General features: G+C 45.5%; 1 protein-coding gene across 12 annotated transcripts in view, besides 1 other annotated feature; it reads right to left on the reverse strand.

Annotated features, from left to right (window-relative positions):
- TIAM1 (TIAM Rac1 associated GEF 1) overlaps positions 1–23956 on the reverse strand; it is a 440670-nt gene that overhangs the window by 195466 nt on the left and 221248 nt on the right. The gene's annotated exons all lie outside the window — the stretch shown is intronic.
- Positions 15517–15717: a silencer, noted in NCBI's record as "peak4402 fragment used in MPRA reporter construct". NCBI's record gives its function as "represses an SCP1 promoter by STARR-seq MPRAs in K562 erythroleukemia cells {active_cell/tissue: K562}" and the evidence as "EXISTENCE:reporter gene assay evidence [ECO:0000049][PMID:32103011]".

Genomic DNA, 23956 nt, shown 5'->3' on the forward strand with positions numbered 1-23956 from the left:
TTAAAAAAGATTAAACAGATGCTTTTGAAACAAGGCCAGAGTGCCCATTCACTTAGTTAATGCAGTCAGAATGGACAACTTAACAGATTCTCAGAAATCCTAATGGGAGTGTAAGATGTGATTCCTGCATGGTAGACAAACAGTACAACTGCTACTAAGAAGAACAATGTTTATGGAAGAATTACGCTATGAATTTTACATATAAAAGCTCATTCAGTCTTCCCAACAATCCAGAGAGAAAAATATCATTATTATCAGGACCATTTCTCACTTACAAATGAGAAAAGTGAGGCCAAGGAGGAGAAGTCTCCCACATGAAATGGTTAACTAGTGGCCAATCACACTGACCCTTGGCAAGGATATATTTTTTTTAAGTTTTACTATCACAGAAAATCAGAACATTCAGCAGATTTAAGCTCACTGATATTAGAGGTATCCTGAGAATAACTGTGGATAAATGATGATTGGCAGTAGGATATATTATATAAAATGTTAGTAAGCCCACTAAACTCTTTGACCCTACCTATGAAGAAGAAAAAGGGCCAACATAGTCAAAGCATTTAATGAAAAGAAAGCAAATATTTCTTTAAATTGCTCCCACTGCCCTAAATATATAGTAAAACAAGCTGCACATACATCAGTTTTTCTTAAACAGGGACCCATATTTTTATTTCTCAACCCCAGTACACACACATAATAGCTTGGTTTACTTTTTATCCTATTCCAATATATTTTTTTAGAAATATTGGCTGCAAACCACTAAAATTATTTTATAAACTCCCAAAAGGTTTCAACCCTCAGTTGAAAAGCGCTACCCAGACGGAAATTACAATTTTGCACACGGAGCTATTTGTATTTTTAAAACGTGCATGCTTGTAAAGGGTAGGGGTCACACAGACTTGCTAATTTCAGCGCTTCTGCATAGGCCCTGGGAATGGACCCAGGACAAGGATGCTTAGCACACGATCCCTGGAGGACTTTCAAAGGTATCTGAACCTTCTGGAATTGAGTGTAAAAATTATGTGCAGGGACGTACCTGCATTTGTATAAAGAGCAGTTCCATGGCTTCTACCAGCTTTATAAAGGTGGGGTCCATCCAAGTTTCACGTATTTATTTATTTAACTACTTTAATTTTTTGGTGAGAGTCGCCAAACCTCGCACCAAAACCACATTTTGGTTAAATATAAATAAAATCAACATGCAATGAGGCTGGGCGTGGTGGCTCACTGTAATCCCAGCACTTTGGAAGGCCATGGCGGATGGATCACCTGAAGTCAAGAGTTGGAGACCAGACTGACCAACATGGTGAAACTCCATCTCTACTAAATACAAAAAAGTAGCTGCGCATGGCCGGGCGCAGTGGCTCACGCCTGTAATCCCAGCACTTTGGGAGGCCGAAGCGGGCAGATCACGAGGTCAGGAGATCGAGACCATCCTGGCTAACACGGTGAAACCCCTTCTCTACTAAAAATACAAAAAAATTATCCAGGCATGGTGGCGGGCGCCTGTAGTCCCAGCTACTCGGGAGGCTGAGGCAGGAGAATGGCGTGAACCCGGGAGGCGGAGCTTGCAGTGAGCCAAGATCACGCCACCGCACTCTAGCCTGGGCAACAGAGCAAGACTCCCTCTCAAAAAAAAAAAGTAGCCGGGTGTGGTGGCGCATACCTGTAATCCCAACTACTTGGGAGACTGAGGCAGGAGAATCACTTGAACCAGGGAGGCGGAGGTTGTAAGTGAGCCAACATAGCGCCCCTGCACTCCTCCAGCCTGGGCAACAAGAGCAAAACTCCATCTCAAAAAAAAAAAAAAAAAAAAGGACAGGCGCAGTGGCTCACTACTGTAATCCCAGCACTTTGGGAGGCCGAGGCAGGCGGATCATGAGGTCAGGAGATTGAGGCCATCCTGGCCAACAGGGTGAAACCCCGTCTCTACTAAAAATACAAAAAGGCGGGTGTGGTGGTGCACGCCTGTAATCCCAGCTATTCAGGAGGCTGAGGCAGGAGAATCACTTGAACCTGGGAGGCGGACGTTGCAGTGAGCCGAGATCGCGCCACTGCACTCCAGTCTGGGAGACAGAGCGAGACTCGGTCTCAAAAAATAAACCTGCGATGAAAGGAGATCATCAACCATGATGACCCTGAAATTGTGTCACAAAAATACGGCCGACTGTCAATAACCTTCACTCATTTCTTCTACATATTGAGTGCCTACCAAGGGTGATCCACTGTATTAAGATTCTGGGTTAAACTGGAAAAGGAGGAAGTTAAATGAGAGGTACCCTGATGTCCTCTGCAGTGTTCTAGTATAATTACACTACAATTCTGAAATCCACAAAATTGAAGATTGTCACCTAGCTGTTTCCTGCCTCCCACAGAGAAGCTGCCAGAATGCTCTGAAAGAGGATGAGTTTAAACCAAAAATCGTATCGTTTTATCACTGCTTGTTCCCAATTAACAGCCAAAATATTTCAAGGAAAGGTTTATACCGATTGAGACAATGGTGACATGTAGCCACCCTCAGATGAAAAGGCATGAGCATTTTTCATAAAGGAGAGTATTTTGTGAGGGCTAAATCAAAAACTGCATTCCCACTTGAAAGACCATTAAAACACTAACAGTGCATTCTTCTCCTCACCCTATGGCTGGGAAACAATAAGCTCTGTCGCTAAGAAGTAATCAGGACTGTGTGGTTTGACCCTTATCGGATCTAAGGTGTTCTGAGCCAAGATAGGATTGTGTGATGGGCATGCCTATGCCTCTTGTTTCCTTCCACATCAAGGATTCGCAACTACAGCAAACTTCCTGGCCTCTCTGAGCCCTCAGGATGGCTCTGGGAAGGTGAGTCATTGATGTCAACAGAGGAGAGAGTTTGGGAGAATGACCCACACATGCCTAGATAAAACCCTTCTATTTCACTTGCTTAGGAATCCAGGCCTCTGGGGAAGTCAAGGTTGGACCACCGTGGATCGTGAGGTAACTGGAAAGATCCTGCCCCCCAGGGAGGGAGGCCTGTTATCCAGTGCCAGGTCTGCCTAGGTGGGTAAGTCTACCTAACTCAAATGGCCAGGGATGTCCAGGAAACCTACGTTGCTGTACCTCTGAGTCACAACCTCAAATCCTATATTTACCGATAATAAAGCTGAGCTTTTGGTCTCCACTTGCTGAACCCTTTGTTTGTCTCAGTTGGTCCAGAAATTAAGCAGGAAAAAGAGCTTCTCAAATCCCCGTAAGCTCTGTCCTCTCCATCTTCTCAATTTCAAGTGGATTGACGACACTTAAAACACTGCTTGGCCGGGCATGGTGGCTCAAGCCTGTACTCCCAGCACTTTGGGAGGCCGAAGAGGGTGGATCACCTGAGGTCAGGAGTTTGAGACCAGCCTGACCAACATGGAAAAACACCGTCTCTACTAAAAATACAAAATTAGCCGGGCGTGGTGGCACATGCTTGTCATCCCAGCTACGCGGGAGGCTGAGGAGGAGAATTGCTTGAACTCGGGAGGCGGAGGTTGTGGTGAGCCAAGATCGCGCCATTGTACTCCAGCCTGGGTAACAAGAGTGAAACTCCATCTCAAAAAAACAAAAAACAAAAACCAAACAAACATAAAACACTGCTTGGTCGGGCACGGCGGCTCACGCCTGTAATCCCAGCACTTTGGGAGGCCGAAGTGGGTGGATGACCTGAGGTCAAGAGTTTGAGACTACCCTGGCCAACACAGTGAAACCCAGTCTCTACTATAAACACGAAAATCAGCCAGGCATGGCAGCACGCACTTATAGTCCCAGCTACTTGGGAAGCTGAGGCAGAAGAATCCCTAGAACCCAGGAGGCAGAGGGTGTAGTGAGCCGACATCACACCACTACATTCCAACCTGGGCAACAGAGTGAGACTCTGCCTCAAAAAAAACCCCAAAAAACAAACAAACAAGAAAAACCCCACCACTGCTTAACTCATCTGTGACTTTCCAATTTTAGGACAAAAGTACATGTGCCTACTTGATGAGACAACTATAGGTCTTATTCATATTCTCAGGCAGCCCCAACACAGCAGAGAAGTTCCTAGAAATCAAAACATAACTAATGACCCAGCTCAACAGGATTTCAAAATGAAGATATTTTTCTTTAGGTTACTGCACAATCACAGAGTAACAGCAGCTTTGCAGAGTGAGTTAAACAGTAATTTGGGTACAGCTCCCAGGTCTTTGCAGAAAGAGGATCAAATTCTTTTTTATTTTTTGAGACGGTCTCAGTCTGTCACCCAGGTGGGAATGCAGTGGCACCATCTCAGCTCACTGCAACTTCTGCCTCCCAGGCTCAAGTGATTCTCCCACCCAAGGTTCCTGAGTAGCTGGGACCACAGGCACATGCCACCACACCCGGCTATGTTTTGTATTTTTCATAGAGACAGGAGAAAGGGTTTCACCATGTTGGCCACGCTGGTTTCGAACTCCTGAGCTCAAGTGATCTGCCTGCCTCAGCCTCCCAAAGTGCTGGGATTACAGGCGTGAGCCACCGTGCCCAGCCACAGGATAAAATTCTGTCATTCAAAGTGAATTTCCAAAATAACAAATATCAAGGGTGAGTGTCCCAAGACATTCCCACAGCCTAATAAAATCCAGGATGAATTATCAACAATTTGGTAGTTAGTCAAGAGACTCTACTCTGTATATAGAGCATCCAAGAACCCAAAACCTACTGGTTCCTACTTAGATTTTCTATTTATGCATCTGATTAGCAAAATCTGTCAATTTTATCATGGTAAAGCCAACAAAATTTACTACTTTGGAAATAGTTCTTTTTGGCTTTGAGTCTGGGAGGGGAAAAAATGGAAAGAGTTCTGCATATAAATCTTCCTGATGTTATTTTGTCTTTATCTTGATAATGTTACTAGAAAGATAAAATCTGATTCAGCCTGGTTTCTCATTCAGGATGCTTCCTCCATAACACAACATTACAAGATGCCCTTCGAGTTGGTGGTTTTTGTTTTTGTTGTTTTATACAAAGACAGGGTCTCGCTCTGTCCCTCAGGCTGGAGTGCAGTAGCGCAATCACAGCTCACTGCAACCTCGAACTCCTACACTCCTGAGACCCTCCTGCTCCAGCCTCCCAGCTGGCTACAATTACAGGCCTATACCACCATGCCCAGCTAAACCTCTGAGTTTTGAATCAAATTTTTTTGTGTCTCCAGCACATCACAATTGGGCCTCAGTTTCTACTCATTTGGCTTCCCATCATGAAGTACAGCATAAAGGTTGCCAGGCCTTTTGTTTCTGGAGCTTTACTTTCTGCTGTGCAACAAGCTAAACACCCAGACAGTGACTAACCAGCCTTGAGAAGGGTGAACTGATAAAAAAAAAAATACATGTTCCAAAGCTGCTCAACTGGTGTACAAGTGCATAGTTGAGTCCCCGTTTTCAATTCTTTTGGGCATATACGTGGAAGTGGAATTGTGGGGTCACATAGTAATTCTATGTTTAACATTTGGAGGAAGCAGTAAATTCTTTTTCACAGTAGCTGTGCTATTTTATGTTCCCACCAACAATGCACAAGGGTTCGAATTTCTCCACATTCCTTCCAATACTTTATTATTTTCCATTAAAAAAATTACTATAACCTGGCCGGGCACGGTGGCTCATACCTGTAATCCCAGCACTTTGGGAGGCCAAGACGGGTGGATCATGAGGTCAGGAGATCGAGACCATTCTGGCTAACACAGTGAAACCCCGTCTGTACTAAAAATACAAAAAAAAGTAGTCGGGCATGGTGGCGGGCACCTGTGGTCCCAGCTACTCGGGAGGCTGAGGCAGGAGAATGGCATGAACCCGGGAGGCGGAGCTTGCAGTGAGCCGAGATCGCACCACCACACTCCAGCCTGGGTGACAGAGTGAGACTCTATCTCAAAAAAAAAAAAAAAAAAAAAAATTACTATAACCTTTCTAGTGAGCATAAGGTGGTACCTCACCATGGTTTTGATTTGCAATCCCCTACAGATATTGAGCATCTTTTCATGTGCTAATTTGGCTATGTGTATATTTTCTTTGGAGAAGTGTCTATCCAAGTCCTATGCTTATTTTTTAAATTACATGTTTTGTTGTTGTTGCTGAGTTGTTTCATCACTGTTTATAGCAGCATTATTCACAATAGCCAAAAAACTGAAACAACCCAAATGCTCATTTACAGAGGAATAAACAAAACATATGTATATATACACCTATGCTTACATGTATATAAACATATATATAAAAGATACATATATATATCATCAACCCAAAACAGGAATGAAATTCTGACACATACTACAACATGAATGAACCTTAAAAACACGATGCTAAGTATGATGTATGATTCCACTTAGACGAGGTACCTGGAATAGGCAAATTCATAAACAGAAAGTAGAATGGAGGTTACCGGGGCAGGGAGGTGGAGGATGAGAAATGGGAGCTATTGCTTGCTGGGTACATATTCTGTTTGGGATGATGAAAAAGTTCTAGAATTAGATCATGGTAATGGTTGTGCAATTGTTCACTTAAAAATGGCTACAGTGGTAAATTTTATTATAGATATTTTATCAAATGCAAAAAATTCACTTTACACTTCTGAATATCATTAGTCAAAAAAAATCCACAACATTACAAAAAATAATGGCTTTGGTCAATGATGGTTGAGTCTGAGGTCTCCAAGGCAGGAATGAGCCAGAAAATGGCATTCAGGGTATGTGGTATCAGAAGCTTAGGTCAACCCCAGCTGCACACTGACCAGTGAGCAATGGTAGGTGACTCCCTCTACCTCTCAGAGCCTCGCTAAATGTGGAATTGAAAAAAAGGAGAGTTGGGCTGGGCGCGGCGGCTCACGCCTGTAATCCCAGCACTTTGGGAGGCCGAAGCAGGCGGATCACTTGATGCCACAAGTTTGAGACCAGCCTGGCCAACATGGTGAAACCCATCTCCACTAAAAACACAATAATTAGCCAGCGTGGTGGCACACACCTGTAATCCCAGCTACTTGAGAGGCTGAGGCTGCAAAATTGCTTGAACCTGGGAGGTGGAGGCTGCAGTGAGCTGAGATCACACCATTGCACTCCAGCCTGGGTGACAGAGTGACTCTGTCTCAAAAAAAAAAAAGAGATCTGGGTACAGTGGTGTGCACCTGTTGTCCCAGCTACTTGGGAGGCTGAGGCAAGAGGATCACCTGAGTCCAGGAGTTTGAGGCTACAGTGAGCTATGATTGTGCTACCGCGCTCCAGCCTGGGCCACAGAAAGAAGGGGGCGGGGGGGGATGACCTGAGAGTTATAGGACAGGTAGAGGAAATTCCCTATGTGCTCAGTGCAGGGACTGGCCGAAGAAGCCATTCAGCATCGGCAGGCCTGCACCTCTGCCTCGGACTCAGGCTCCTCCACATAATCTGAGGCCGGTCCACACTGCCTTCTCAGAGTACGTTATTTCCCATGCTCTACTGTTTGTTTGTTTGTTTGTTTGTTTGTTTGTTTTTGAGACGGAGTTTCGCTCTTGTTGCCCAGGCTGGAGTGCAATGGCGCGATCTTGGCTCACTGCAACCTCCGCCTCCTGGGCTCAAGCGATTCTCCTTCCTCAGCCTCCAGGGTAGCTGGGATTATAGGCACGTGCCACCATACCCAGCTAATATTGTATTTTTAGTAGAGATGGGGTTTTGTCATGTTGGCCAGCTGGTCTCAAACTCCTGACCTCAGGTGATCCACCTGCCTCGGCCTCCCAAAGTGTTGGGATTACAGGCGTGAGCCACCACACCCAGCCTCTTCTGTGTTTTAAAAATAGTTCAGGACAGAATTTTAAAAGCAAGTAAAAATTGCTCCTTATAACATAAGAAGCCAAACTGATTGAAACTTTAACCCTTCTTGACAGCCTTCAAAAACCATCTCAGGCCGGGCACGGTGGCTCACACCTGTAATCCCAGCACTTTGGGAGGTGGACAGATCACCTGAGGTCAGGAGTTCAAGACCAGCCTGGCCAAAATGGTGAAACCCCATCTCTACTAAAAATACAAAAATTAGCCAGGTACGGTGGTGGGCACCTGTAATCCCAGCTACTCGGGAGGCTGAGGCACAAGAATCACTTGAACTTGGGAGGCAGAAGTGGCAGTGAGCCAAGATCGTGCCACCTGCATGAGACTCCATATCAAAACAAACAAACAAACAAAAAAACAAAAAAACCAACTCAGCAGAGAAAGAAATAAAAATCTAGAAAGAAATCATCTAAATAGGAATAGTGAATACCTTTGATAGTTTTGATTGCCATCTTTTTGCTTAGCCATATATTCTAGTGTTCCTATAATGAATATGCATGATTATCTAAGAATATCATATGCAAAAAGGAAAGAAAATACTAGCTTGGAGTCCAGCTTCTCCCAAGTCTCCTTGCTCCTTCTTCTCCTCCTGGACCACAGTCTTCCCTCTCACTCTGTGTGTTGCATCTGCCTCATAATGATGGGGAGGACAATTCTAGCTCGTATTCACAAAGGTGTACCTGTGGAGAGCACTCCTCTAAGTCATGACACACGTAAATTCATGTCCTACTCACGATACCTCTATGGGTGGGGGGGGGTGCCATCATCTGCCATCTTATAGGGGAAGGAACTGAAGCCTGGAGAATGACAGCAACTTGCCCCCTGGGCACCCTGCTCGCCTGTGACAGCCCTGGCTTCAAACCCACACTGAATCCTGAACCCAGTCTCTTGGCCTCAACAACCTGGCCCCTCCTGTGGGTGTTTCTACTTTTGCCACTGCCTGTCTCTGTGTCACGATGCATTGACTTTTCTGTCACCTCCGCCACACTGTGAAGCAGGGGCTGTGGCCCTACCCGAAACAGCTAACCCACAGTCTGTCCACTGAATTGAGTTATGGCTGAATATTAGGTCCCAAACGCAATGACATTTTAAACCTATCTACACATGCAATTGTATTTCTATTTCCACAAGGGGGTCAAGCAACCACTGGTCACTTCAGCCAGGCGGGGCCCACTTCATGGTTTTCCCACAGAACTCCCGCAGGTGAGACAAAGCGCCCCTCAGGGAACTCGGTTCCTTGGTGGAGTCCATGGTAGAACGCTGTAGGTGCACTTCAGGGCTCCACAGCCAAAGTAAAGAAAGATGAGAGGCCGGGCGCAGTGGCTCACGCCTGTAATCCCAGCATTTTGGGAGGCTGAGGCATGTGGATCATGAGGTCAAGAGATCGAGACCATCCTGGCCAACATGGTGAAACCCTGTCTCTACTAAAAATACAAAAATTAGCAGGTCATGGTGGTGCCCGCCTGTAGTCCCAGCTACTCGGGAGGCTGAGGCAGGAGAATTGCTTGAACCCGGGAGGCGGAGCTTGCAGTGAGCCAAGATCACGCCACTGTACTCCAGCCTGGGCAACAGAGCGAGACTTTGATTCAAAAAAAAAAAAAAGAAAGAAAGTGCATGAAGCCATAAAAAAAGTGGTGCTAAACCAGTCTGAAAAGACTACACATTGTAGGATTCCAAGTATATGACGTTCCAGAAAAAACAAAACTATTTAGAGACATCAGTGGTAGGCCAGGCGCAGTGGCTCATGCCTGTAATCCCAGCCACTTTGGGAGGCCAACGTGGGCGAATCACTTCAGCCCTGGAGTTCAAGACCAACCTGGCACCATCTCTATAAAAAATTTAAAAATTAGGCTGGGTGTGATGGCTCATGCCTGTAACCCCAGCACTTTGGGAGGCCGAGGCGGGTGGATCACCTGAGGTCAGGAGTTTGAGACCAGCCTGGCCAACATGACAAAACCCCGTCTCTACTAAAAATAAAAAAATTAGCTGGGTATGGTGGTGCGGGCCTGTAATCCCAGCTACTTGGGAGGCTAAGGCAGGAGAATCGCTAGAGCCCGGGAGGCAGAGGTTGCAGTGAGCCGGGATCGCGCCATTGCACTCCAGTCTGGGTGACAGAGTGGGACTCTGTCTCCAAAAAGAAACACACAAAAATTTAAAAATTAGCTGGGTGTGGTGGTGTGTGCTTGTAGTCCCAGCTACTCAGGTGGCTGAGGTGGGAGGATCACTGGAACCCAGGAGTTCAAGGCTACAGTGAGCTATGATCACACCACTTCATTCCAGCCTGGGCAACGGAGCAAGACCCTGTCTCAAAAAAAAAAAAAAAAATCAGTGACTTCCTGGAATTAGCAAGAAAAGGGAAGAATTGGTGGAGCACAGAGGATTTTAGGGCAGTGAAACTATTCTGAATGATACTGTAATGGTGGGTACAGTAATGGCCGCTTGACCCCCTTAAAAACAGAACAATGACTGCGTGCGTGGAAAAGTTTAATTCATTGCGTTTGGGACCCAACATTCAACAATAACTCAATTCAGTGGACAGACTGTGGGTGGATACTGTAAAGGAGAATCACTTGAACCTGGGAGGCGGAGGTTGCAGTGAGCTTAGATGGCACCACTGCACTCCAGCCTGGGCGACGGAGAGAAACTCTGTCTCAAAAAAAAAATTTTATTTGGTGCCTGCTTATGGGCAGAGGGATGCTGTCCATGATGGTGATAACAACAGTAATAGTAATTGACACTTGTAGAGGACCTACTGTAAGTCAGACGCTGAAGAAGTTTCTTAATTTTCTGACAATTCTATCAGGAAAGTACTTGTCCCCATTTATAAATGAAGAATCCAAAGCACAGAGAACTCAGGCAACTTATCCAAGGCCACACAGCCTGTAAGTGATGGAGCTAGTGATTTTTATTCCCACAGTGCTGCTCTCAGCCATCTTTTCTGCCTGTAACCTTTCAGACAGCTGCCTCTAGCCTACCTCTGAATTCTAGGATTCCATCCACAGGGCCCCTAACATTGCCAAAAGCAAAGAGATTAACTGCCCAACTAGAATATGTGACATTCAGGCTGGAGACAAAGATTTTGGCTTGATTTGGTTTCCAAACAACAAAATCATTTCTTTAAGTATTTCAAAAATGTTTAAGAAATATTTTGGTAATGTTTCCCTGTACTGCCCCCAAAGTACAGGGAAATGGTGAATACCTACTCCATACCAGCATCCCTCAGTAGGACCACAAGGGTAAACAATGAGTACACCAACACTGTAATAACCAAAGGAAAGAACAGAAGTATTTTTTTACAGGCCAGGCACGGTGGCTCACACCTGTAATCCCAGCACTTTGGGAGGCCGAGGCAGGCAGATCACTTGAGCCCAGGAGTTCGAGACCAGCCTGGACAACATGGCAAGACCCCATCTCTACAAAAAAAAAATACAAAAATTAGCCAGGAATGGTGGTGTGCAGCCGTAGTCCCACCTACTCAGGAGGCAGAGGTAGGAAGACCACTTGAGCCTAGGAGGTGGAGGTGCGGTAAGCTGTGATCAATCATGCCACTGCACTCTAGCCTGGGTGACAGAGGGAGGCCCTGTCTCAAAAAAAAAAAAAAATTAGTTTTTAGTTTCATACTACTAGAGAAGAATCATGGAAAGATACATTCTCATAGAGTATGTTTTTAGAATTTACTCAGAAGGGGCCAGGTGCAGTGGCTCATGCCTATAATCCCAGCACTTTGGGATGCCGAGGCAGGTGGATCACTTGAGGTCAGGAGTTCGAGACCAGCCTGGCCAACACGGCAAAACCCTGTCTTTACTAAAAATAAAATAATTAGCCAGGTGTAGTGGCGCTCACCTGTAATCCCAGCTACTCGGGAAGCTGAGGCATGAGAAACACTTGAACCCGGGATGCAGAGGTTGCAGTGAGCCAAGATGGCACCACTGCACTCCAGCCTGGGCGACAGAGCAAGACTCTGACTCAAAAAAAAAAAAAAAGAATGTATACAGAAGAAGGTTCATCTAAAATAACATAAATATTCATCATGTATCTGGGGAAATATAGATACATTTCTACCTTTTAAGTCAAAAAGCTGGAAAGAAACCAGCCATCAGTGAGTTAAGAGGTGTCACACGGAGGGGGCATTGAAGAACCCACACTTTTCAATATTTTTCCCCTTTACTGTTTACTTTCACATGCAACTGCGAATAAAAGCAGTAGATATACTACACACTGGCATTTAGAAATTGTTTAAAATGGAGCTAAAGACATTACATTTAAAATTGAAGAAGAGCATCCCTTTGCAAACCAACCGTGTTTCTCACGCCCTCCAGACCCTCCAGACCCTGCTGAGGCCTCTGCTTTTCCACTGTCAGGCAGAGTCCCCCTGGAGCAAAACTGCTGTGCATCTGAACACCCTGACCCCAGCGAGACCCCAACTCCCCTCCCGCAGGTGAGCCACTGAATTCCTCACCTATTAATGACATGTCCTGATTTTGTTTGGTTTTGTTCTGTTCCATTTTTCTTATAGAATGCCCCATTCTCTAGGAATGGAGTTGAGCAGCTGCCACTCTGTCCTCTGATCAAAGTTATGGTCCTCTCCTGTCTTCCTGTTGTCCCAGCTCACCTGAGAGACTTTCTGGGAAGAGACTCTTAGAGGGAAGGGGAGTACTATGGCATTCATGGAGAATCCCCAGTGACCAGCTTGGAAGGCAGCTGAAATTTTCAAAGGAACTTCCTGCCTATCTGTATCCCAAACTAAAAAGATAGAAAGAAAACCAAACAGCTTTACCAGTTAACAATACCATCCTTCAGTGCACACCATCAGACTCCAAATAATCCATATTAAGTGGTAAAAGCCCATGAACTGGAAAGAAAGAAGGCTTCTGCAATGACAACAACAAAAAGATAGGGCAAGTCCCTAGTATCTCAGGGTATTCCCCACGCCCTGCAGATGTGCGTGATCATACACTTCCCACCAGGTAATACTCGGGAAGTATTTAAGATGCTAGATGAAAGGCATTTGTTACCCAGGGGCAATCCCCCTAAGTTTCTTGCAGTGGTGATTAAAGCGATTGCCCTCCATCCCTTCCCTACCTTCCAGTGATGTGAGGTTTAACTAATGTGCACTTGGGGTTTTAAGATCCCTAGATGAAAAGAGGACCAGATGTGAAAGTTATTATTATTTTGTTCAAAGTAGACGGGTATACTAACATCTGTGGGCAAGTTTACCACACGCCACTTAAAACAGGCTAACAGGGTCATATGCCAAAACGTTCAGGTTTGCATTTTTGAAAAGCTCAGAGATCTGACAGATGTGTTCCGGCCGCGATTTAACATGCGGCTCCAGTGAGAAGGAAGCAGATATGACAAATGGTTCACTTATTTCAGAACTAAAACCCCAGAGGAGCAGCCTGAGCCAAAAAGGGAAGTGATCAATGGAAAAGACGGTCGAATCTGCTCACAGGCAAGGCAAGGGGGCAACACAGAGCATGTGCAGGGAGGAGGAGCTTTCTGTTTGGAAGGTAAATGAAACACTGGGCTGCAGAGAACCCGAAATTATCTTCAAGCATTTTTTAGCCACGCTTGAACTCATTCTAGAATTCATCAGCTAAGTACCCTTATAGGATAAAAAGTCCCTTTCTTCATCTTCTATAAAGAAAGAGATCTGTGGGCTGGGCGCAGTGGCTCATGCCTGTAATCTCAACACTTTGGGAGGCTGAGGTGGGCAGATCATTTGAGGTCAGGAGTTCGAGACCAATCTGGCCAACATAGCAAAACCCATCTCTACTAAAAATAGAAAAAATTAGCCTGGTGTGGTGATGCACACCTGTGATCCCAGCTACTTGGGAGGCTGAGGCATGAGAATCGCTTGAACCCAGGAGAGGCAGAGGTTGCAGTGAGCTGAGATGTGCCACTGCACTCCAGCCTGGGCAACAGAGTGAAACGCCGCCATCTCAAAAAAAAAAAAAAAAAAAGGAAAGAAAAGAAAACAGAAAAGAAGAAAAAAGATTTGTGCCTAGAGAAATTGCAAAAATAAAGACCACCCCACCATCACCCTGCACCAGTAGGATCCAGACTGTGTGAGCAATAAGAAAGTCTAATCGATGCCCAAACACAGGCTTACTGAGAACCATGGTCCACATGAAATGGTGCGTAGTCTCCTCCCAACGCAGCTGTCAGGGAGAACCTATGGACCTAAACCAGATCGTGTCTCCCTAGTCCTATCCACAACCCTCAAAGGCTTCCCATCTCACCAGCAGTCCCGCAGACCCTGCCCTGACGACCCTCCTCTGTCTTCATCTCCTTGGCTCTCCCACTTTGCTCTTTCCACCCAAACTTCCAACATGCCCAGCCCAGCCCTCTGCCCTCTGCCTCGATGCTCCCTCTGTCAGCACAGGGCTCGCTTCCTCAACCCCTTGCCATCTTGGCTCCAATGTCACCCATGCAGTGGGGCCTTCCTAACTCCCCTATGTTCAAAAGCTCAAACACCCAACACTTCCTTGCTTCAAGGGCCTCCACTGTAACAATCACCTTCCCACATGGTACATGTTGTAACTACAGTCGCCATTCCCTATCCACGGGTTCAGTATCCATGGCTTCCATATCTGTGGACTCAACCAACCGTAGATCAAAAATATTCAAAATAAATCAAGAAATGATTGTGCCTGTACTTAACACGTACATATTTTATTTTATTTTTTGAGACAAGGTGTCACTCTGTCGCCCAGGCTGGAAAGCAGCAGCACAATCACGGCTCACTGCAGCCTCAGCTTCCTAGGCTCACATGATCCTCCCACCTCAGCCTCCTGAGTAGCTGGGAACACAGGCACACGGCACCACGACTGGCTTATTATTATTTTTTTTTTTTATTTTGCTCTAAGTTCTGGGATACATGTGCAGAACGTGCAGGTTGGTTACACAGGTATACATGTGCCATGGTGGTTTGCTGCACCGATCAACCCGTCATCTAGGTTTTAAGGCCCGCATGCATTAGGTATTTGTCCTAATGCTCTCCCTCCCCTTGACCCCCACCCCCCGACAGGCCCAGGTGTGTGATGCTCCCCTCCCTGTGTCCATGTGTTCTCATTGATCAGCTCCCACTTATGAGTGATAACCTGTGGTGAATTTTTCTATTTTTTGTAGAGATGGGGTCTCGCTATGTTGCTCAGACTGGTCTCGAACTCCCAGGCTCAAGTGATATTCCTGCCTTGGCCTCCCAAAGTGCTGGAATTACAGGTGTGAGCTACCATACCCAGCCCAGACATTTTTTCTTGTCATCATTCCCTAAACAATACAGTATAACAACTATTACCTAGCATTTATTTTGTTTTAGGTATCCGGAGATGATTTCAAATGTGTGGAAGGATGTGCCTAAATTATATGCAAATGCTATGCCATTTTCCAAAAGAGATTAAGCATCTATGGATTTTGGTGTCCTCAGGGCAGGGAGGGGATGTCCTGGAACGAACCCCCCACAAATACGCAGGGACAACATCTCTTGATATTGTCTGTATCCAGAATGTCAGTTCCCTGAGGGTAAGGATGCTTCCCAGCCTTCTGCCCTATTGTCTCCTTACTACCTGCAACTGAGCACGTGAACGCAGTGAACACACAGATGCTGACTTCAAAAGTCAAAGACAACCCGCAAGAAGAAACGCTGAGGTCGGCTCCCAGAAAAATCCTCGTAACTGCTCACTTTCGTGCTAAGGTGCCTGTGCACACAGTCCTGACGACTCCTTGTGGGAAGGGTGATAAGACTGAGGCAGGATTTGAGCATTTCTGGTCCCCAGGTCACAGTACATTCAAATACGACCAAATCCCTGCTGTCCGTAACCACCCTTGATGCAGGAAAGTGTGGCTAACACGGCATCTACCATATGAATCAGCTCACCAGAAAATGCATCCTTAGTGTCCACAGCGCAGCACATGGCCAGAAGGAAGAAAACAGGAACATGAAGTCAGTGCTTTCACAGCTATGAAGCCGCCAGGGAAAATCCCATTCTTAGAGTATCAGAGCCTCCTGCTTGATGAGGGATTCTCCCCTGCTGCCCAGTGACTGCTGCCCAAGCCGACAGGCTGCAAAGAACTTCAAGAAGTACTATAGGTCAAAAGACACTTTACTAGATGTCATGAGTAGAATGCAGTGCTGTGTCTCCTCAATTTGGTTTGAATGTTGTTGCTGTTTCATAATACCATTTTATAGAGCAGTTTAAGGTTCACAGCAAAATTACGCAGAAAGCACAGAGATTTCCCATATACCTCCTGCCCCACACGCACAGCCTCCCGACTACCAAGATCTTTCAACAGAATGGTCTGTTTGTTGCAATCAATAAACATATATTGACACATCATTATTACCCAAAGTCCATAGTTCACATTAGGGTTCAGTCTTGGAGCTGTAGATTCCATGGCTTTGGATGAATGTATAATGACATGTATCTACCATCACAGTCTCATACAGAGTAGTTTCACCACCCTGGGAGCACCAGTCCTGTGTGCCCTGCCTGTTCATCCCTCTCTCCTCCCTAGCCCCTGGCAACCACCTTGATGGTTCTTCCATGTTCTTTCATGACTAGCTCATTTCTTTTCAGTGCTGAATAATATTCCATTATCTGGATGTACCACAGTTTATACATTCACTTACTGAAGGGCATCTTGGTCGTTTCCAAGTTTCCAATAAACCTGCCATAAACATCCGTGTGCAGAGTTGTTTTTGGTTTTTTGCATGGTTCTTTGTATTTTTTGTTTGTTTTTGTTTTTCTTTTTTGGGGGACAGAGTTTCCCTCTGTAGCCCAGGCTGGAGTACAGTGGTGCAATCTCAGCTCACTGCAACCTCCCCATCCCAGGCTCAAGTGATTCTCATGCCTTAGCCTCCCAAGTAGCTGGGATTACAGGCATGCGCCACCACGCCTGGCTAATTTTTGTATTTTTGTGGAGTTGGGGTTTCACCATGTTGGCCAGGCTGGTCTCGAACTCCTGACCTCAAGTGATCTACCTGCCTCAGCCTCCCAAGGTTCTCTGTATGTTTTTAATAGCAGTTTGGTGTGGGGAGACACACCGAAAGAGAAATGCAAAGAATGACCTTAGTGAGTTAGAGACAAAATAGACTTCATACTCTCCAAGAAAGTCCCTCTTTCTAAGAACACTTTTGAGAAGTTAAATTTGGCAAAGAATTCTAGTGTTAGTTTTATATACACATGCATCCATTTCTAATACTATGATTTTTTTTCAAGCACTTCAGATGGATTTATAAACTCGGAAAGGTAAAATGTGATTTGAACATTTTCTTTTGTCCCTATTAAATAAACATGTCCGTGGAACTTCGCTGTAGATTCCATTATACTTAGGCTATGTTTTCCCAACTGGTACTACCAGCCCACGTGTTCTCTGAGGGATCCACTGTTGTGACATACAGAGCCAGTGCTAAAAAAAACAAAAATGCTGGGTTGAATGCATTTCAAAGATTCAACCAAGTAGTCAACGAAGATGATGACAAACTGTAAAACAAAGATGCCTACAAATTTCTGGACACAGGAGTAGAAATGAATTATGAAAGTAAGCATCCATCCCACCAATTATGTCTCAAAATCCATATATAATTATTAAACTGAAGTTGCAAAACTGTAGGCATCTCAAGGCAGATAGGTTCATCCTTTGGAAAAGGGGAGCTCACCACATCAAACACAGCCTGCAGGCCCATAGGCCCAACCAGCCACAATGACTCCCAGGGGAAAAATGAGGAAGGAGGATGTCCCAGAACCCAAACGTGTCTTAAATGTTATTCCAAAAGAAACTACTTCTCAACTATCTCTAAAATCCAAATGCATTCCTGGTAGGACAGAGCCTACCCTACCACACTCCTGAGGACTGGGAATCTCCGGCTATGCCACACCAGCTTGAAACATCCAACCAAAAGGCATTTGACCAGGCCTTCCATTGGACAGCACTACTTTCCTACTGAGGGCTGACATTCTGCAGATAAATTTCCCAAATCCTGTATTTACCACTCTAAGTATTCCTGGGCACTCACACCCACTGCCATTTGTGAGTCAGAAAGAGGGCTGGCAAGGAAGCCTGGTGGATACACAGACAGAGGTCACAGAATGAGGGTCCCACATGCAGGATTTCAGTCTGATTTCAAACGATGGAAATAAGAGGCAGGCAACTCACATTTCAATACCAACTTCATGTGCTCTTGAGAAAAGGGAAATATTGAACATTCAGATCAGCTTTTTGCTTTCTTTTAACTACAAGGTCCCAGCGAAAACATAATCCGTGTCTAACATATCCAATTACTGAGAAAAAGCACGTACATGCTCCTGTGTTCTCTTCACCTGGCTAGTAACAAAATGGTATATTTTCCCATTTTATTTAATTTTTCTGCTCTCAAAATTACTTCCAGATCCTATTTTTTCTTTAGTTTTCATTTTCATCCTACATGAAACCCCCTACTCCTGGAGTAAAAAGGAAAGAAAGAAAAGGAAACAACCACAAGTTAACACGGTATTTTAAAATACAACACCAAAAATATAAAATCCAGCCACGGCATCTGAGACTGAAAGAAACAAATAAATAATGTGTAAATAAATAATGCAGCACTATCAAGCTAAAAGTTGAGTCTTGGTACATAATATCCATATTACAGGCTTTGCCAACTATACAGAGAGAAATTTCTATACACTCAAGGAACCTAAGGATGCAACTCACAGCCCTGAGCAACAGGCTCAACTAAGGTTGAAGAGTCAGGAAGAGCCCAGGATAAGAACTTTGGTCTCCTGACCTCTTTCTAGCCCAGTGCTCACCTTCTCATATTTCATATTAATGAAATACTAACTAGCAAATAATGATAATCATTTTGTTTAAACATACATGACTGAGCTTACCAGAAATACCCTCACTCACCTCACTCAAAAAAACTTTTTTTTTTTTCACCAAAAGAGAAAAACCACTGTGCCCTGAGCAGGAACCATTTCTAGCAGTATCAACACTGCCACTGGAACCACCCAGAGAAAATGCTCAAACCACCACCAGGGAACTCGCGATAAAACACCCACACTCACATTCACACTATGTATGTGATCATTAAAATCACCCTCCAATGATCTACAAAAAAAAAAAAAGTCTGTTGGTTAGAGCTCTTCATGACTAAATGGCTCATCAGACATCTGCCCAAACTAGATTCCTCTAAATATTGAGAAAGGTGAAGCAGAAACACTAAGAGTCCACATTGGTTTTCTGTCCCAACTCTTAAAAAGAACTAAATAAACCAGGCATGGTGATGTATGACTGCAGTCCCAGCCACTCAGGAGGCTGAGGCAGGAGGATTGCTTGAGGTCAGGATTTCAAGGCCAGCCTGGGCAACATGGCAAGACCCCATCTCTCAAAAGCAATTTTTATTTTAAATAAATAAATGAATTAAAGATTGTAGATGCACTGTTCACTACTTGAGCTACCAACACAGGGAAATCAGGACCACAGAGGCTAGGGTTTCTCAGCTGCCCCGAGGGCTGAGGATCTGGGTAGGTGTGGTTTGTCCGCCTGGGGGCTGCTGAGCCTAGTCCAGGCACTTTACTTCTCTCCAACTCCGTTTTTTTCAGCAGTAAAACTGGAATATTAACAGCTCATTGGATTACTTTGAAGATTAAATGTCCTGACTCTTCAAATTTATCAAACTTCTAGTTTATACCTCTCATTTGAACCCTTCTAAACTTCTAGTTTATACCTCTCATTTGAACCCTTCTATGAACTCTCTTTTTGTTTTTTCTTTTGCGACAGGGTCTGGCTCCGTCTCCCAGGCCGGAGTGCAGTGGCGCAAACATGGCTCACTGCAGCCTCAACCTTCTGGGCTCAAGCAATCCTCCCGCCTCAGCTTCCTGCGTAGCTGGGACCACAGACATGCACCACCACACCCTGGCTAAGTTTTTTATTTTCTTGTAAAGATGAGCCCTCACTTTATTGCCCAGGCTGGTCTCGAATCTCTAGGCTCAAGTGATCTTCCCACTTCAGCCTCCCAAAGTGCTGGGACTATGGGCATGGGCCATCACGCCTGGCCTGAACACTTATGAATTCTTGATGGTATATCTTTTCTTCCCTTCTACACTGTAAGCTACGCTGTACCCCAAAGATGATATTCTACACTGTATCCCAAAGATGATATTCATAGCTACCCAACAAATGATTTGTTGAAAGAATGAATAAATGAGCTAACCATACCACCCTCCCCCCCAAAAAATTAATATGAAGCATAGTAACTAGATGTCACTCTCCTAACCTGAATACATTACCTTACCTTGGCTTGTTGAGACTTCTGCAAATACATTAGAAAGATAAATAGCAACAGTTACTACGTAGAGGTGAAAATCGGAAACGCTTCCAATCAACGCTTATGGCTATAGGCTTTTCCACTTCGATTCAACCCCACGCTTGGTTTGCATGCAGGCAATTGCAACAGCCCCTAGTGTTCCATTCTAAAGCTGAAACCACGAAAAATCCATTTTATTTTCACTTAATGTCAACTCTTGTGCTTTCTTTGAAGAGGGATTCTGCTGCCTCCAGCCCTCCCCACCTGGGTGCTGTTTCTTTATTATCCCCACCTCCCCGCCTTTTTTTTTTTTTGACTTGGGATCTCACTCTGTTGCCCAGGCTTGAGTGCAATGGCGTGGTTCTGACTCACTGCAGCCTCAAAGTCCTTGGCTCAAGGGATTCTCCCCCTGCTCAGCCTCCGGAATCGATGGGATTTTATGCAGGAAACACTGCACTCGGCTGTTCTTCATCAATGCTTCAGTCCTCATTACACATATTGATGCTGTTTGATCAGCAAAAAAATCCCACTGATAAGGGCACCTAACTGCGCTATCTTGACTCTCCGGGGATTTCAGATACCCTCACCTGCGCCTCCAGTAAAGCTAACCCAGGCCTCTGGAAAGAATTTTTTTCTAGCTCTGAAAGTAGTTATCTGCAGCCCATCCCTCCCTTCACAGCCCCCACATGGTTCATTCCCATCCCCATAAGCAAACCGAACTCTGCTGAGCATCAGTTCGGAGCAGAGAGAAAAGGCTGTGTGCTTTGAGCAGACTGGCTCCTTCCCAAGCTAAACACACTTATGTGCATCTGACTCCATTACCGCCCCAGCCTGCACATGTACCAGGGCGCCCAGCCTTTCCGGAGGTGAGCTTGTGTTTACCCACTGCCATGGGAGTATTTCCCAGTCAGCCTCTCCTCCCCACAGTGGAGACTGGCTGCAACCACCCGACCCCCAACCCAGGCAACCAAATGTGACATCCAAGGAGTTCCCGGAGTGGCCATCTGTCCCTGCCATGCCAATGTTTACGCGACATGGGCAGGAGAAGGACAGGCCAGGGAAGCCTCCAGGGTATCTTGCATCAGACCCAAGGCATCCACATCCCAGGCCGTTTGTGCCACAAAACAAAAACAGTGAAAGAAGAGTCCTCTGTCTAACCAGAGAGGTTCCCGGTTCCTAAAGAGAAGCATCCATCTCTTTAACTTTCCTGAGGGTGTTCAAAGAACCAGCCTGATACGTTTCACCTGTGGACCAACATCTAAAAATAAAATGAGATCCCTAATTTTGCAGTTTTTAAAATATTACCTCACCCTCCCCACCCTCCACAAAGTGAAACCTAAACATGGTATTTCAGACAATAATGACTTCAACAAGCTCATGAACAGTGAAATGCTAGGAGGAATTGGCTAATGTAGAAAAGATTTAGATCAGAAATAAACTCAAGCCAGGTGCGGTGGCTCATGCTTGTAATCCCGGGAGGCCAAGGCAGGTGGATCACCTGAGGTCAGGAGTTCAAGACCATCCTGGCCAACACGGTGAAACCCTGTCTCTATTAAAAATACAAAAATTAGCTGGGCATGGTGGTGCACACCTGTAATCCCAGCTACTTGGGAGGCTGAGGTGGGAGAATTGCTTGAACCTGGGAGGCGGAGGTTGCAGTGAGCCGAGATCACACCACTGCACTCCAGCCTGGGTGACAGAGCGAGACTCTGTCTCCAAAAAAAAAGAAAAAAGAAAGAAACTCAAGAGTCTCCAAATTCTAGAGTTAATATGACCATTAGACATGCTCATCTAAATGTCTCTGTTTATATTCACAACCGGAGGTCAAGATGTGTGGGAACAGTCACGAGTTTAGAAATCAGATAACACACAGTTCAACTCCAGGGTCACTGCCACAATAGAGTGATTTTAGTCAAGCTACCTAGGTTCCACCAAGTAGACTTGGAGATGAGAATACGCACAGGCTCAGAGGGGCTGTGAGGTGCAATCATGTATTCTGTTAGAGATCACAAAGCAGAAGTATGCCAGGCACACAGTAGGTGCTCAATGTTTGCATCTTCCTTTCCAGCCCTAGCCCTCCTTCCATAGCCTTACAATGTCGGGGGCGCACCCAGGAGGCAGAAGATGTCCAAGACAGAATAAGTGAAGACAGACGCCACTGGGGAGCGTTCGGCCGGCCATCAGCTAAGACTCAGCGCACTGACTCTGCTGGGACATATTTCTGTTATCTTTCGAATGGGGACAAAAGATGCTTGACATGTTTCACCTACCATTTGCATGAAATCTGTTGAACTACATCTGAAGTACTGGGGGAGAATCCACATTATTCATCACATAAATGTGCTTAAACTCCCTCCGGGGGGAAGATGGGCTAGCCACTGTGCCTGAAGCCAAGAGATGACACATCCATTCTATGACTCAACTTGAGCAGCTGCAGTGTGAAAATACACACACAGGCTCACACAGAAATGGGCTAACAATTTTTAGAATTGCCCCTTGCTTTTTTTTTTTTTTTTTTTTTAGTTTTGCTCTTTAACCTCATTACTTTCCTTTGCTCACAGAACCTGGAAGCAACGTTGACATTTCTTTGGACAGCTCTGACCGGGTTTTAATCCCAAAAAGAATCCCTTAACACTGTGGCACATGAGGCACAGGGCACAGTCACAGGTCTCAGGGACTCATGATCCTACTTCAGGGAGAGCTCAGAAGGGTAACATCATCTGAGAAGGAACACTGGTTCCGAGGGGCAAAAATCACAGTGGCTGGGGCAGTCCAGAAAGACAGCCGGGAGGAGGTGGACTTGAACTGACTCTGAAGGAGAGGTAAAATCTGAATCGGCAGAGAGCAGGCAGGAGGCCAATGGGGGTAACCAACAAGGACAGGTGCCCTGAGACAGGACTCAGGAAAGCTGACTCTGGCGGGCTGTGTGGCCACTCGTTCAGCTAACATTTACTAGGCACGCCATGGCAGTCACTATAGCCATGCTGGGGCAAGTATAAAGAGAATCCAAGCAACCCACCCTGGAGGAACACACAATAGCACGGTGATCAAGAGACTAGACTCCATAGGCCAGGCTGCCTGGTTCAAATCCTGGTACCTCACTTTCCAATGCTATTGCTTTGAATAGGTTACTTAGGCCAGAGGTGAGAAGTCATGTATACGTTTTTGATTAGGAAGTGTTTTCAGAGAAAACCAGAAAGTAGGTAGGGGAGATCTTGAAGGGAAGGAAGCCCTGGGGGCACTCTAGACCCAGGGCAAGATAAGACCTCAGCCTTGGCCTGGAATATGTGCACCCTTCTCAGGGTTAGCCCTTGCTAGGGATGCCCTGGGGGTATAGAGACTACCAGGTAGTTGGCCAAAGGGAATCCAGCCCCTAAAGGCACCCTCCACCAAAGACAGCAGGAGCGAAAGCACTCAGGGAGAGGGAATTTACTAGACAGGTGAAGGGGACCCAAAGGGATAGGGGCTGAACATGGACAGCCGGTGCTCCAAAGGGTTAATAATTGTTGTTTTTATTATTATTATTGTTGTTATTATTATTATTATTATTATTATTATTTTGAGACAGAGTCTTGCTCTATTGCCCAGGCTGGAGTGCGGTAGTGTGATCTCAGTTCACTGCAACCTCCACCTCCTGGGTTCAAGCAATTCTCCCGCCTCAGCCTCCCGCGTAGCTGAGATTACAGGTATGTGCCACCACACCGGGCTAATTTTTGTATTTTAGTAGAGACAGGGTTTCACCATGTTGGCTAGACTGGCTCGGACTCTTGACCTCAAGTAATCCGCCCACCTCGGCCTCCCTAACTGCTGGGATTACGGGTGTGAGCCACCACACCCGGCCTATTATTATT

This window comes from Homo sapiens, chromosome 21 (assembly GCF_000001405.40).
Source record: "Homo sapiens chromosome 21, GRCh38.p14 Primary Assembly".
Classification (NCBI taxonomy): domain Eukaryota; kingdom Metazoa; phylum Chordata; class Mammalia; order Primates; family Hominidae; genus Homo; species Homo sapiens.